The following is a 13,850-nucleotide window of genomic DNA, read 5'->3' on the forward strand; positions in this document are numbered from 1 at the left end:
CCCATCTCTGTGGCTAATGTGACCGAGGTCAGTGGGCCCTGCCTTGTCTAATACTTGTAATGCCCTGAGTGTCCTCAGGTCATCGCTGACTGGGTGATTAGGGCAATTTGGAGGTGACAAAGTGGGTAAAATGTAATAGCACTTTACTTCTAAAATAAAAATGGTCAACAGCATTAAAGACTAGGACTCTTCTATTGCACTATTATGATGTCAAAATTATTATATTTGACTGGGAATTAGAACTATTTCAGTCCCCGTATATTTTCTAGAATTAGAACATTGTTTTGCTAGCCATGAAGTTTATCATCTTCTCATAAAACCATGCGTAGCTGGAATAGCCAAGGCGCCATTCAGTCACTCATTAGCCTGTTCAGCTCATTCATTCATTCCATAGGTGCTGAGCCGCACCTCCAAGGCTGCTCCCAGGGGTCAGGACAGTGGTTGGGAAGGAGGAGGCAGGTGGGCGGTAGCCAGTGGGACACAGAAGGTGATGGGGCCACAGAGATAGGTCTGTGTGCAGGGCCAGGGCACCTTCGTGCCCATGCAGGGAGGTGGGCAGGCCCAGCAGGTGAGGGCCACACCGCTGGAGAGGACGGAAGTGCCAAGCAGCCGCTTCCCTGTTGTTCTGCAGCTCCCTGGTCAGCACCAATGAACACCTGCTGCAGGAGCTGAGCCAGGTGCGGGCGCAGCACAGAGCCGAGGTGGAGCAGATGCACTGGAGCTACCAGGAGCTCAAGAAGACCATGGCCCTGTTTCCACACAGCAGCGCCAGCCATGGAGGCTGCCAGGCCTGCTGACTCCTGCCGAGAAGCTGGGCCACCCCTTAAGCTTCCTGGTAAAGTTACATTGTCTGCACCTTTGTACTTCTTTATTGAGTGTACTGGCTGGCAAGAGTTCTCTCTTCTGTTGGTAATTATTTAGGATTTTTGGAATGTATTCAGGACCTGTAGCTTGGTTTTCTAAAGCACCTCGTAAAATGATATGATTACTCCAAGCCCTCTGCATGTTTTCAGACAGAACACATTGACATATTTTGAGACAAACTGACTATTAATCTTGTATCCAGTATCCTGAGATGAAGTAAATGCAGTGTTCTACTGCCTGATGTGAAAGAGAGCTATGTATGATAATTAAAGAAAATAATTTTCTGTGTAACAAGCAATCTTTATTTAATAAACAAATACATTGTTCTGAAAAGTTAACTTTTTCAGTGGCTGTATACAAATTATAACTGAGTTTGTCATTGAGTTTTTTATAGAACAAGCTGTGCACCATGATAGGTGAGTGGGAATAATTAAGTTCAAAGACTTAACACAAGTGACACTTATAGATGTGGGGGAAAAAACCTTAAAAATATTGTCTTATGATATTAACATATCACAGCGGAAACATCTACCCAAGCCCTGGCTCGCTCTCTTGTTTGCAGTGTAGTTCTGAAAATTATGTCATAATAGGACACAAAACTAGATTTTTAGTTTGGAAACTTCATATCTTATGTCATACTTGCTGTGATTGGTAAGACAAGGTCATTTTTTAAATGACGTTCAACTGATTTGGGAAGAATGAGCAGGCCTAAGAAGAAAATGCTCTGTGCTAGCTCTGTGTGTGTGTGTGCCCTTGCTGTGTGTGTGTGTGCCCTTGCTGTGTGTGTGTGCTGTGTGTGCGCTAGTGTGCGCTTGCTGTGTGTGTGTGCTAGCTGTGTGTGTGTGCTGTGTGTGCGCCTAGTGTGTGTGTGCTAGCTGTGTGTGTGCTAGCTGTGTGTGTGTGCTGTGTGTGCTAGCTGTGTGCGCTTGCTGTGTGTGCTCTGTGCGCGTGCACTTGCTCTGTGTACTAGCTGTGTGTGCATGCTAGCTGTGTGTGCGCTTGCTGTGTGTGTGCTAGCTGTGTGTGCATGCTTGCTGTGTGTGTGTGCTTGTGCGCTTGCTGTGTGTGTGTGCAGTTGCTGTGTGCTAGCTGTGTGTACGCTTGTGTGTGCGCTGTGTGTGCGCGCACGCACCCTGTGTGTGTGCTGTGTGTGCACGCGTTGTGTATGTGCACTTGCTATGTGTGTGCTTGTGTGCTAGCTGTGTGTGTCTGCTAGCTGTGTGTGTGTGTGCTTCTGTGTGTGTGTGTGTGTGCGTGTGGATTGTATCCCTGGGGAAATCAGAGGTGGGACTCTGCTGTCTCTTCCCCGAAGAGGACTTGCTAGGCTTCAGGCTGCCCTCTTGTGTCACCTCTCTGTCCAGTTGTGGTCCTAACAGGAAAATGTGTCATACCAAATTTATTTTCTGTAGGGTTGGGATGGGGTTAATTTGTCATCACGTAATTTATGTATGTAAGAGTATTAGAAGATGTTAATATTAATCCACTTTAAGCTTATAGATGCTTACCTCGTTTGGGTTTCATTGAGCTTCTTGGACCTGTGAGTTCATATTTTTCACCAGATTTGGCAAAGTTGCAGCCACTACTCATATTTCTTGTCTGACCCCGTCTCTCACTTCTTCCTCCCTGTCCCCATCTGGGACTCTAGTTAGCTTTCTGTTAGACTGTGATACTGTCTCTCAGGTCACTAAACGTGATGCTTTTTCATCCTTGTTCTCTCATCCTTTCCTTTAGGTGGTTTTATTGTCCTGTTGCGAGGCTTACTAATCTTTTCTTCCACTTGCCTAATTTGATGTTAAGCTTGTATAGTGAATTTTTTATATCAGAAATTAGGTATATTTTTGTTCTAAAATTCCATTTGAGGCTAGGCGGGGTGGCTCACACCGTAATCCCAGCACTTTGGGAGGCTGAGGCAGGAGGATCACTTGAGGCCAGGAGTTTGAGACCAGCCTGGCCAACATGGCGAAACTCCATCTCTGCTAAAAATGAAAATTAGCTGGGCATGGTGGTGGGCACCTGTAGTCCCAGCTTCTTGGGGGGCTGAGGCAGGAGAATCGTTTGAACCTGGGAGGCGGAGGTTGCAGTGAGCCAAGATTGCAGCACTGCACTCCAGCCTAGACGACAGAGCAAGACTCCGTCTCAAAAAAAAAACAAAAAAACTCCATTTGATTTTTTTCATTAGTTTTATATCCCATTATGTTCACGTTTCCATTAACTGCTTAACCATGTTTTTAACAGGTTTACTAGAAATTCCCAACTGTTCCAAAGTGGTGGTACCCGCAGGCCCGACTGCTAGTTGTGTATGACCACGTCTGCCGGTCCATGTTTTCAGCACCCATTGCCTGAAGTGTTAGCACCTTCACTCCGGTGGGTGTGGGGTAGTGGAGGGAGTGGGGTGGTGGAGGGCGCGGGGTGGCGGAGGGCGCGGGGTGGTGGAACGTGTGGGGTAGACCTCTTTCTGGTTTCATTGGCTTCTCCTTGTTCAGCACCTTCTCATGTGTCTGCGGCTCATTGGGATTTCCTGTTTGTAAAGTACCTATTCAAGTATTTTCCCTACTTTTCTATTGGATGGTCTGTCTCATTTATTTGCAGGTGTTATTTATGATTCTGGGTAGTAGTGCTTTGTGAATTACATTTGCAAATAGCTTTTCTTGTCTTTTTACTTCAATGGTGTCTTTTAAGAGAAATTTTAAACTTTAATATGGCCCAATGTATCAATATTTTCTTTTATGATTAAAGCATTTTGGATCCTAATTTTTAATAATCTTTACTTTGCCTTGATCATAAAGATACTCTGTTACCTTCCAAAGGATTTTATAGTTTTGTATATTTTGGATTTTAGATATAGATTCTACCCAGAATTGATTTTTGCGCCTGTTGTGAAGCTTAAGGATCCAGTTTCATTGTGTTGCAGACATAAGCCCAGTTTTCCCAGTCCCGGCTGCTGAAGATTCCTTTGTCAGGATGATCTCTGTGTCCGTTTCTGCATCTCCTTGTCTGTCTCTGCCAATACCACACACTCTGGGGCGCGTACCTCCATCTTATGTTAGGATGTCTTGGCTGTTTTTGACCCTTTGTGTTTCATACATTTTAGAACTAGCCGGTCGAGTTGGGATTTTGTTTGGGATTGTGTTGAACCTGTAGATCAACTTGGGAATCATTGACGTACTTGCAGTACTGGGTTTTACAAGCTCTGAACATGGTATCTGTCTCTCCAAATGTTAGGGCTCCTTCAGCGGGTGTTCATACAGCCTGATACTTTTCACAGTGGTCTTGTATGTCTTTTGTTACATTTAATCCTAGGTCCTTGTTATTTTGCGATGCTGTTTTTAAAAATGTGCTTGGATTTCATTTTCCTAATTATGTGTTGCCATTTCATGGAAATTCATTTTTGTGTATTAATTTGTATCCGGCAGTCTAGTAATTTTAATCATTTGCCTGTAGCTGTTTCCTCATTTTTAGGCACACAGTCATGTTTTCTATGAGTAATGGGTTTTCTTTCCCATTCCTGTTGTTCTGGATTTTTACTTTATGTTTTTATTTTTGTTTTGTTTTTTGCTTTTCTACACTGGTCGGAACCCCTAGTGCAGTGCTGATTAGAGGTGGTAACAGAGTGGGCATCGTTGTCTTCTTCCTGATATTCAAAGGGGTGATAAATTCTCACCATTTATCCACTCACTTGTAATGGATTTTTTTTGCTTGTTTTAAAGCTTCTTCTATCAATAATTCGCCTCAAGAATGGATGACTTTTATCACTTTTTCTGCAGTGATGGAGATGACCATGATTTTTATCATTTAATATATTGATGTGTTTAACGACCATAATTTGCTTTTGTTAAAAATAAACCTTGAATTTCTGAGATAAGTCCAACTTAATAATTATGGATTTTCTTTTACATACATATTGTTATATTTGGTTTGTTAATATTTTGTTTAGCATTTTGTGGCCCAGCTATACTACCTAGCACCTGTGTTTGGGCCCTGATTTCCTCGTCTGTACAATGGGGAAATAGTGGCTTCCTCACAGGATTGTTGTGAAGGTGAAATGAGTTAGTATGAATAAGACTCTCGGGCAGCATCTGGTGCGTCCTGAGCACTGGGTAGCTGCGTGCTCTAGTACAGTGGTTAGTATCTCTCTTCACGGGTGACAGCCACTTACGATTTTCCTTTGTAATGCTGTTCTTGAAAGGATTCGCATCTTTACACCACCGTAAAATGAGCTAGGTTGTGTATTCTTTCTCCATTCTCTAGGAGAATTTACTTAAGATTATAATTATTTCTTCCATGGATGTTTGATGGAACTTGCTGGTGAAGTCACTTGTGCCTGGAACTTTCTTTGTCAGGAGGTTTGACTACTGATCCAGTATAACTCAGTGTTCCAGGATGTGGCAGAACCGTTCACACAGACCATCCTTATGTCCCCCCTGCCTTTACGCTGCATATCCCTGAGTTGGGCTGGGGCCGTGTGACTACTGAGCAACAGCCTGTGTGTGGGACTGAGGTGAGTCATTTCAGGGCCAGAGCAGCGGGAGCTGGTGCGTCACTGTGATAGCTTCCCTGCCAGTGACCTGGGCAGCTGCATCACAGGATTAGGAAGTCTGTTTGTCTTCTGTTAGAAGAGATCTCTTGTTATTCCTGAAGTTGGACGTTGTGTGAGTAATACATTTTGTGTGTCCAGCCACTGAAGTGTTAGGGGTTTTCTTTTGTAGCTGGCAGTGACTTCCCCTAAGTCACAGGGCTGAGCAGGCTTTCCATTTCTTTTCGAGTTAGTTTTTGTAAGTTATGTGTCTCTAAGAATTGGTCCATATTGTCTTAATTTTCCATTTTGGGGGGTATAACACACATAATTTGAATGGCTTCAACATTTGAAGTTGTGTGTGTCCCTGTGGCAGAGATGTAGGGACAGTTGTGTCCCTTCAAGCGAGACCTTGCCATCCAGGGGCAGGGAGTACAGGGGTAGAGACCATCTCCAGCCACCATGCTGTCAGGCTGTGCCTGGGCTCTGGAGCTGAGGACACACTCATCCAGGCAGCTGCAGCCAGTGTCCAAGCAGGCAGGGCCTGGGCCTAATGCGAACCACAGGGAGCTCCCTAGCAGGTCATCTCCAGAGCCTCCCTGAGGCCTCCCGGCCTCCTCCCCTTGCTGCTGTTCAGGGGCATTCCTCACCAGTGAGCCTCTTGTGATACAAAGGCCACCTCAGCATCTGCCTCCCGGGGACTCAGCCCATTCTTGGCCATTCTTCATATTCGTTATTTGAACTTTCTCTTCAGTCCTTTCAAAGAAACACCCTTTGCCTCCATTTTCTTTTCAATTTCTGATCTGATCTATCATTAGCCATGCTGAAATTACAAATAAATATGGGTTAAAATATTATTTTATCAATTTCCCTGTTCTGTGTTTCTTTCTCTTGTTTTATCAGCAAAGCTGATTTTTTTTTTTTTTTTTTTTTTTTTTTTTTTTTTTTTTTTTGAGATGGAGTCTCGCTCTATTGCCCAGGCTGGAGTGCAGTGGCGTGATCTCGGCTCACTGCAAGCTCCGCCTCCCGGGTTCACGCCATTCTCCTGCCTCAGCCTCCCGAGTAGCTGGGACTACAGGCGCCCGCCACCACGCCTGGCTAATTTTTTGTATTTTTAGCAGAGACAGGGTTTCACTGTGTTAGCCAGGATGGTCTCAATCTCCTGACCTTGTGATCTGCCCGCCTCGGCCTCCCAAAGTGCTGGGACTACAGGTGTGAGCCACCGCGCCCGGCCTCAGCGAAGCTGATTGATCCACCATCTCATTAGTTTAAATCTGCCATCTCATTTTGTGCTGTTTGTTCTATTCATGGTTTTTTCCCTCTTCACTTTTGCCACTTTTGGATGATCTCCTGTCATCCCGCATGTCCCTCTGCTCGTTTGGAGACTGTACTCTGCTTCTGTCCCATGCTTATGGCATGTGTGCGTTTAGTCCATGCTCTCACCCACCTCTGGGGTTGGTTCCTGGAGCGCGAGGCGCGCGTCCCTCTCCATGCTCCTGTTCTGCTCACCTGTGGGGGTTCCCAAGTATTTTTATGAAACATTTTAATCTCACAAAGTATTGATATAGCCACTGTTAATTTGGAGTTATTGACCTATTTATTCTCTTTGCTCCACTTTCTTCACAAACCAGACATGCCATTTGAGATCACCTTTGCTTTCTGCATTTAGAATTTCTTTAAATGTCTGCTGGTGGCAAATTCTCTTTTCATTGTCCAAAAATGCCTTTATTGTATCCTCATTTTGGAAAACTGTTTCGCTGGGCTAGTATCTCAGGTTGGCATTTTTTTTATAGCAGCCTGTGATGACATTGTCCTGTTTTGGGGGCTCTGGTGGTGTTCACAGTGTTCATGTCCATTCCCCTTGAATCTAGACCCCACCCAGGGCTACACCAGTGCTAGAGCAGGACTCACACCTGACAGATGGCTGGTCCGCCTGCTCCTCCTTCACGGTCCTCCTGTCTAGATGAGGAAGCGAGAGACTCCCTCGGGAAAAGGCGACACAAGGGCCTTGGCCCTGTGAGCTTCAGCCCAGTGGAGGCACTCAGCACACTCCCCACCTGGGGCCCCTCCAGTACCTATCCCCTGTTATCACCTGTTACAGACACGTGTGCTCTGAGGAACAGAGAAATCCATGTTTTAACACCTTTATTTGTCACTTTACCAACTTGACACACAATGTTAACGACAGCAGACACAGGAGCAGTGTGCACACAGACACGAGCTGTTTCACTACAGGTTTGCAAGCCAGGCTCAACAGCAAGTCCAACAGGCAACACCACACCTCTCACCTGCAGGAGGAACAGCAGGGCCACCCCACCCCGCGGACGTCCGCGGTGAGTGCGGTTTAGACATCAGCAGAAGTGGCTTTCAGAGTCAGAACAGCCATGACGTGGACATCACCCGTCACACTGATAAAGTGATGCACTCAGTACTCCCTAATGTTAATCACACAGTGTAAAAATATATTGCACATATATATATATATATATATATATAAATTTGTTTCCCTTTCTTGAAAAAAACTTAGTACAAACTAGTAGTTACACGATCCCTTTCAAGTTTCTCTTAAGTTGTGCAGATTTCCTTTGTGGTTTGGCTTGGTTTAGTTTTTTAAGAGGTCGAAAGAAAGAAGTAAAGCATCTCGATGTGCCCAGGACTCCCCATCACATGCCCAGGGACAAACGCTGCACCCTGGACCACCAGAGCTCACAAAGTGTTCAGTAGTAAGAGGAGGAAAGATGCAGGTTCAGTGTTTGAAGGACGTTCTAGCCTATTGATAACATCACGGTCCAGCCTCATCTTCCCCCTGTGCCATCCCCTCGTGGTGTGTGCTGTGGGGTGGGAGGGTGGCCAGTGCACGCGTGATTGCCCACAGGAGGAGATGAGCTGGGCCAGTAGAGGGACAGGTAAGTGTCCAGGGCCAAGGCATCTCCATCTCAACTCCTCCCCACTCCACTTGTACAGCAGGAGCCACAGGCCTGTGTGAAAACACAGGACAGGCCCTGTGCCAACAAAACACCATTCACAAAAGCAGGCGGCCGCAGCAGCCCAGGATGGGGGCTGGGGTAGGAGGTGATGCCCACGCAGGGCTGCTGTGGTCAGCCCTGAGCTGGCATCCCTGGGGCCCGGGATGGAGTGGCACCAACAGGCAAGTGGGGCGGCCACAGGACATGATGCCAGCCCAACTCCACCATCTGCGCCCAAACTTGGACAGGATATTAGAAGGTGTAAAAGTAGTCCAGTATAAATATATATCTTCTACAATATTTTAAACATATAATTTGAACTTTAATTTTGGTAACGCTAATTGTTAGGAACACTACCTGGTTGCTTATCCTATAGCAGTAAATTAAAAATAAATAAGCACTCTGGCGTGAACAGTCTTCTCAGCGCTCTCCCTCTGCCTTTCTCCTTTCCTGATGCTGAGACACGATCAGCACTGTCCTCCCGACAGAACCTATTCCTGTGTCCTGGTGTCACCCCCAACAGAACCTGTCCCTCTCTCCTGGTGTCACCCCTGACAGAACCTGTCCCTCTCTCCTGGTGTCACCCCCGACAGAACCTGTCCCTGTCTCCTCTTGTCACCCCCAACAGAACCTGTCCCTCTCTCCTGGTGTCACCCATGATAGAACCTGTCCCTGTGTCCTCGTGTCACCCATGACAGAACCTGTCCCTGTGTCCTGGTGTCACCCCCGACAGAACCTGTCCCTGTGTCCTGGTGTCACCCCTGACAGAACCTGTCCCTCTCTCCTGGTTTGCAGGTTGTGCAGTTTGTTATTCACAAATACACATTTATTTTCTGTTGAACCGTGGTTAGTAGAAGCTAATTGGCAGTGCATAAAAACATGCAGAAGAGAACACACACCTGCCTGAATTCACAATATTCAGAAACTGACTGAGGAAGATGCACGGGTCTGTTATGTGCAGTGGGGCTGCCGTCCAAACAATGTTCTGTGTTCGGAGGCGGCACACAGATGCAATTACGGATTCCACAGACAAGTTGTAACTGACAGTGGTGACCACTATGTCCTCGTGACTTTATTTTTGCTACCCCTCCTGGCTAGGTGACAGAGATGGGAGCCGAGTGGGTGTTTTCAAAGATTCGCTTTGGAGCTGAGTGGAGAAGGGTGCTCTCCTGGCTCCCGCATGTCTGAGAAAAGCCTGAGGGCCGCTGGGGGAGGGCGTGCCTCTAACTCGTGGGCACCAACCCTGGAAGTGTGGAGGGAGAGTGGGGGCGTGGGGCCTCTCCCTCCAGGATCCCAGGGTGCTCCAGGCCAGGACGGGCAGGGTGCCACAGCAGCCTCGATCTCATTCACGAAACCCACAGGCGTGGCCTAGGGTTTGGGATGCACGCCACGATTTTCTCTCTCAGAGTGAAGGGACCACTTCTGTGAATGAGCTCACCTCCAGGGGCCAAGATGGGAGCCATGAGCCCCGCCGCTCCGGCCACTCCAGCCAGGTCTGGGAAGGGCTGTGGTGAGTCGGTGCTGGCCGTGTGGGCGAGGTGACCCGTCGGTGACAGGGCCTGCTCCCTGCGAGGTCGGGTGGTGCCCGGGCCGGGCGGAGGCTCTTCTCGTGCTCAGGGCCGGTTTCTGGTGTGCTCCCGATGCGCTTGGCTCTTTTCTCGAGGCCGTGCTTGTCTGAGGCCAACCAGGGACCAGGAGGCAGCGTCCTGGTGCCCAGCACCTCTCCTCAGTGTCCCTCGTCCCCACAGACCGGATCAGGGCCTGGCGAGCCTCTGTGCCTGCCGTGCGGTGTGAGGACCCGCGGACCCCAACCCGCCCTTCCCTCCGTCCTGACCCGGCGCCAGGCTCAGCTCCAGGGCGAGGTCCTCTGGAGTCATGTTCGTTCTGCGTGGCTTGGCCGTGACTGTGGGGACTGGGCTGCCCACGGACAGAAAGGAGAAACGCAGCCTGTGACCAGGAGACGCAGCCCAGGGTGGAGCCGCGCTGGGGCCAGGGAGGCCGAGGAGGGCAGGAGTCCGAGGGTGTAAGGGTGCCAGGGCCTTCCGGGTCTCAGGCTTCGGGACCTGGGGAGCCACCCTGTTTGGTGACCACTCGTCCTCGGCCTTTTCAACACAAGGGCTTTGGAGTTGTGATGGGCTGTTATCGGGTGATTCCGGTGGCCACTCGTCTGTGATCGGGTGATTCCGATGACTGCTCGTCTGTGATCGGGCGATTCTGGTGACCGCTCGTCTGTGATCGGGTGAGTCCGATGACTGCTCGTCTGTGATCGGGTGATTCCGATGACTGCTCGTCTGTGATCGGGCGAGTCTGGTGACCGCTCGTCTGTGATCGGGTGAGTCCGATGACTGCTCGTCTGTGATCGGGTGATTCCGATGACTGCTTGTCTGTGATTGGGCGATTCCGGTGGCCGCTCGTCTGTGATCGGGCGATTCCGGTGACCGCTCGTCTGTGATCGGGTGAGTCCGATGACTGCTCGTCTGTGACCGGGCGATTCCGGTGACCGCTCGTCTGTGATCGGGTGATTCCGAACCGCACATTCAGAGTTGTTTTCAAATGTTTCCGCACGTTAGTTCTGCCTTTCACACGCGGTCCAGCCAGGTTCAGCGGGGGCACAGGGCTGGGCTTGGGCACCCCCCGCCTTCCCCAGGCCGGTGAGGTGACATCCTAAAGGAGCCACGAAGCCTGAGGTCCATTTTTCCTTGCTCTTTATTTCCAGGCACTGAACTTCCCAGCCCTGCCGTGGAAGCTGCCTGCCAGGTCCTCCCCATCCTCAGGTGGAGGCTTCTCTGTTGAGGGGCCTCGGAGACCGCCCCCCAGCCCTCAGCGGACCATGCTGGCTGGGAGCTCCGCCCTGGGGCTTCTGCTCTGCTCAGGTAGGGGGAGTCCTTCCACGGAGCTGTGGCCGCAGCAGGTGCACTCTTGGGAGTCGGGGAGGCGGGTGGTGCTCATGCGTGCCAGTGAGGGAGGGGCCTCGCCACCCTCCTGTACTGTGAGCCTGGCCCTGGGCAGCCCTCTGCCCTGGCCAGAGCCTGACCGTAGCCACGGGCTAACAGGCTCTGGAAAAGTTTCCCCAGGACTGCCGCAGGCTCATCCGCAGGTAGACTCCAGAACCACGGCCCAGCAGGTCACACGTGTGGCTGTGGCTGTGTGCGTGCCAAGGGACAGTGGCAGTGTGCCATTGTGACAGCGGGTGGCCACACCCGTCAGCCTCCCCAGGAGGGAGCAGGAGCGCCGGCTTCTCCCCAGGTGCAGACAGGCAAGGGCGGGCCGCCTGGGTGTGTCCTGGCAGTGTGGAGTGTCCTGGATGGGCTCTGCTCAGCCCCCTGCTGGCAGAGAAACCCCCACAGACACTGCAGGACTGGGGGTCCTCCCTAGTGTCCTGCTCTCCGGCGGGGGGGATTGGCCAGGAGAGGTTAGGCTGAGCCATTTTGGGAGAGTTGAAGAAGGTGCTTGGGCTGTGGCAATGGGAGGTCTGCGAGCAAACAGGGTGCAGCTAGTGAGGACGGGCGAACGGGAGGGCCGGGCAGAGGCTCTGTCACGCGGTGAGGCGAGGAGTGTCTCGGCACTTCGTGTCTCTTGCCTGGCAACACCACAGGGACCGGACATTCTGAATCTTCCCAGACCCGCTCTGAGAACATAGGCAGCCACCGCATCTTCTCAGGAAAGCAAAGCGAGCCTACTCTACCCTCACAGTCCAAGCCACTGTGGTCAGCCGGGAAGCCGCCCACTGCCCCTGACGGCTTTCGTTTTACCTAGGTTGCCCTTGGCACAGAGCTGGCCTGTAGGCATGTGTGCACAGGTGTGTCCATGTGACCGGCTTCCCCACACATGTGCCAGGCGCCCAGCACCCCCGCCAGGTGGCCTCACTCTGCCCTCTGCCCAGGAAAGCAGGAAGGCCCCGTGGTGTCCGCTGCACACAGGACAGGCCTCGGGCCCCACAGACACCTCCCACGTCCGGTGTGGGGCCAATTCCGTGTTAGTTGCCTGCTGGTTGGGGTTAGCTCCTGCCACCCTCAGGGCTCCTGGAAGGTGTCTGCCGCTCAGGAGGTCAGCACAGCCTCCTGTTGCCATGACAGCCAGCTGCTTTAAAACGCCCCTTTGACCTGCAAACCACGTGCCCAGTGTGGTGTGATCCGCGAGACACTTTGGAAATGGCTGAGGACGAGGCAGGTGTATTAGGAGGGTCAGCGAACTGGGGCCCAAACCTGGTTTGAGAGGGGAGTGCTGGGGGCATCCGGTAGGAGGAGGGGCAGGAGGGAGGCCTGGGCCTGGCCGCCCCCCAGCCCCCTCTGGGGCACCCGTCTGAGTTCTGCCCCAGTTAGTACAGGAATGTAATGAAGTGCGAGGTGACAGAGTCCCTGCTCTGGGGACACCGGCAGTGCCGCGAGGCATGGAGCGGGGGCTACTTGCCCCCTTGCACCTTCTGGTCGTAGGTGCCTGCGTGCTTGTAGCCGGACACATAGCCTGACTCGTCCACCAGATCCACGCGGCCAGCCTTGCCCTTGCCCTTGCCAGAGGGGTCGAAGCGCTCCTTGTGGGAGCCCGTGAACTTGGTGGTGTCCGTGAGCCTCGACACTGTGGGCGACGAGATGGCTTTCTGCAAGAGGAGCAGGAGGAAGGGGGCAGGTGAGTTGCGAGCCAGGTGAGGCCAGCAAGTGAAATGGCTGTGCCCTGGGCAGGTCTCCCAGCGGTGGGGCACTGGGCAAGGGGCATAAACCCTGGGATTTATGCCCCTTTTAATTCTTATTTTTACCTCTCCTGACCCTGGGGCAGCCTTGGGCCTGCGGGGTGCCACAACCCTAACAATTGCCCAGGTCCACCTGGTGTTTATGTAGTTGGGGACCCCACCACCTGCACCCTCAGAGGGAAGGGGCTGTCAGAACAGCCAGGCCCCACCCTCCAGGCTATGCCCCCCCAATCCATGCCCCTTCAGACCAAGCCTCCCCAGGACCCCCCCAGGCCACGCCGACCTGGCCATGCCTCCCAGGACCCACCCACCCCCTCCCAGGCCAACTCCCAGTCCATGCCCTTCCTGACCACGCCTCCCCAGGCCTCACCCTCCAGGCTATGCCCCATTCATGCCCCTTCTGACCACACCTCCTCAGACCCCACACCAGGCCACGCCCTCCTGACCACGCCTCCCAGGACCCCCCCCAGGTCACGCCCCCAATCCATGTCCCTCCTGACCACCCCTCCCCCAGGCACCACCCACCTTCCAGGCCCCGCCCCCACCCCCTCCAGGCCCCGCCTTCCATCCCCGCCCTGCTCACCGTCACCCCTGAGATGATGGGCGCCTTGCCCTCGATGAGCCTGTGCACCTCGCGAACGGCCTCCTCGCTGCTCTTGTCTTTGAATCGCTTCTTGGCGAGCTCCTCCAGCGCCTCCTGGAACTGCTCAAAGGTGATGGTCCGGCAAGACTTCCCTCTACAGGGGCACAGGCGACTTAGGGCTGGGCGCGGGCCGGCCCAGGGCTGCCCTCCCCACGCGTGGGTCTGAGCAGAGCTGGA

At 51.8% G+C, this 13,850-nt stretch overlaps 2 protein-coding genes across 15 annotated transcripts in view, besides 3 other annotated features; one reads left to right on the forward strand and one right to left on the reverse strand.

The window, feature by feature from the left end:
- The window catches only part of CEP72 (centrosomal protein 72), a 64,277-nt gene that overhangs the window by 40,017 nt on the left and 10,410 nt on the right, over positions 1–13,850 (forward strand). For 5 of the 11 annotated variants that reach the window (XM_047417363.1, XM_005248322.4, XM_011514064.3 and 2 more), the window contains 3 exons: positions 632–3,228; positions 11,060–12,969; positions 13,585–13,743. In XM_047417363.1, the coding sequence (XP_047273319.1) occupies positions 632–797 (166 nt within the window). In that variant the 3' untranslated portion in view covers positions 798–3,228; positions 11,060–12,969; positions 13,585–13,743. Of the gene's footprint in view, positions 1–631; positions 3,229–4,571; positions 4,733–11,059; positions 12,970–13,584; positions 13,744–13,850 lie in introns of those variants that run through there. The other 6 variants (NR_164122.1, XM_047417364.1, XM_047417365.1 and 3 more) reach the window with 6 other exon arrangements.
- Positions 7,506–13,850, reverse strand: part of TPPP (tubulin polymerization promoting protein) — a 40,866-nt gene continuing 34,521 nt past the window's right edge. For all 4 annotated transcript variants that reach the window (XM_024454346.1, NM_007030.3, XM_047416674.1 and 1 more), the window contains 2 exons: positions 13,614–13,767; positions 7,506–12,940 (listed from right to left, as the gene is read on the reverse strand). In XM_024454346.1, the coding sequence (XP_024310114.1) occupies positions 12,746–12,940; positions 13,614–13,767 (349 nt within the window). In that variant the 3' untranslated portion in view covers positions 7,506–12,745. The remainder of the gene's footprint in view (positions 12,941–13,613; positions 13,768–13,850) is intronic.
- Positions 10,057–10,226: an enhancer, noted in NCBI's record as "experimental_86779 CRE fragment used in MPRA reporter constructs". NCBI's record gives its function as "activates a minimal promoter by MPRAs in K562 erythroleukemia cells, with activity observed for the non-introgressed 5:662613 variant allele {active_cell/tissue: K562}" and the evidence as "EXISTENCE:reporter gene assay evidence [ECO:0000049][PMID:34662402]".
- Positions 11,528–11,697: an enhancer, noted in NCBI's record as "experimental_86783 CRE fragment used in MPRA reporter constructs". NCBI's record gives its function as "activates a minimal promoter by MPRAs in K562 erythroleukemia cells, with activity observed for both the introgressed and non-introgressed 5:664084 variant alleles {active_cell/tissue: K562}" and the evidence as "EXISTENCE:reporter gene assay evidence [ECO:0000049][PMID:34662402]".
- Positions 13,115–13,284: an enhancer, noted in NCBI's record as "experimental_86799 CRE fragment used in MPRA reporter constructs". NCBI's record gives its function as "activates a minimal promoter by MPRAs in K562 erythroleukemia cells, with activity observed for both the introgressed and non-introgressed 5:665671 variant alleles {active_cell/tissue: K562}" and the evidence as "EXISTENCE:reporter gene assay evidence [ECO:0000049][PMID:34662402]".

Source organism: Homo sapiens, chromosome 5 (genome assembly GCF_000001405.40).
Source record: "Homo sapiens chromosome 5, GRCh38.p14 Primary Assembly".
NCBI classification, from domain to species: Eukaryota; Metazoa; Chordata; class Mammalia; order Primates; family Hominidae; genus Homo; species Homo sapiens.